The sequence below is a fragment of the Homo sapiens genome, chromosome 7 (assembly GCF_000001405.40).
Source record: "Homo sapiens chromosome 7, GRCh38.p14 Primary Assembly".
NCBI lineage: Eukaryota > Metazoa > Chordata > Mammalia > Primates > Hominidae > Homo > Homo sapiens.
Window position 1 is genome coordinate 77479119 of NC_000007.14, and position 935 is coordinate 77480053.

Genomic DNA, 935 nt, shown 5'->3' on the forward strand with positions numbered 1-935 from the left:
GTCTATCTATATATGTCTAGTATTATTTCATCTGTACTCCCCGCATTGCCCTCTCCTCCCCTTACTGGATTATGTTAAAGCAAATCTCACATCATCATTTTTATCCTTATTATTTTAGTATATATCTCCAAAAAGTGACTTTCTAAAAAACATAACCACAACATCATTATCATACCTAAAACATTAACAATATGTGACTATTTTAAAATACACTGGAGCTTGCATATCCAAAGGAAGATTCTCTTCAAAGAATCATCTTAAAAGGCTATAATTTCCCAAAACATTTTTGGATACCTCTCAGGATTACTTTCAGGACTAGCAATATATTAAGTATCCCGAATGGTGACAAATCTTCACTCTTCAAGGGTAGACTGGACTTGAAAATAGCTGAAAAGTCTTTAGGAATAAACCCTAATGAGCGGTTGGAGTAATCAGACTGGTTTTGTTAGAGAGTAATATACACAGAGGCACAAGGTGTGTCCATTTCATGAAAGGAGTCTGATGCTTGTAAACTAGCTCAAATTACCTACTGGATGACCAGAGATGCAAGGCTAGAGAAAGAGGAGCTCTATTGCATCAGGAGCTGAGGCAGGAGAGGATCCTAAGAGGAGAATGTGAGAGGCAGCTGAGAGAACCAGCCAACTGGCAAGAGGGAGTTATGCTTAATCTTTGTACCCTAAATTCCAATGATTCCAGGCCACTTTCTGGATTTATCTTGCATTTCAGGTCTCCTTCCTTTTGCAAACAATGTTCCCTGTGATTGGAATGCCTACTCCGGCTGGGTGGACCCACTGGATGAATCTCTAGTCATCCTTTAAGATCTTGATCAAATATTATCACATTATTTGACTCTCTGGCGCAATAAGTTGTTCCATTTTCTGGCCCAGTTGTACTTTGTAAATGTCTCTTTTAACATCTCTGTGACTGTTTCATAT

General features: G+C 38.4%; 1 annotated feature.

The window, feature by feature from the left end:
- Positions 220–420: a silencer, noted in NCBI's record as "peak6615 fragment used in MPRA reporter construct". NCBI's record gives its function as "represses an SCP1 promoter by STARR-seq MPRAs in K562 erythroleukemia cells {active_cell/tissue: K562}" and the evidence as "EXISTENCE:reporter gene assay evidence [ECO:0000049][PMID:32103011]".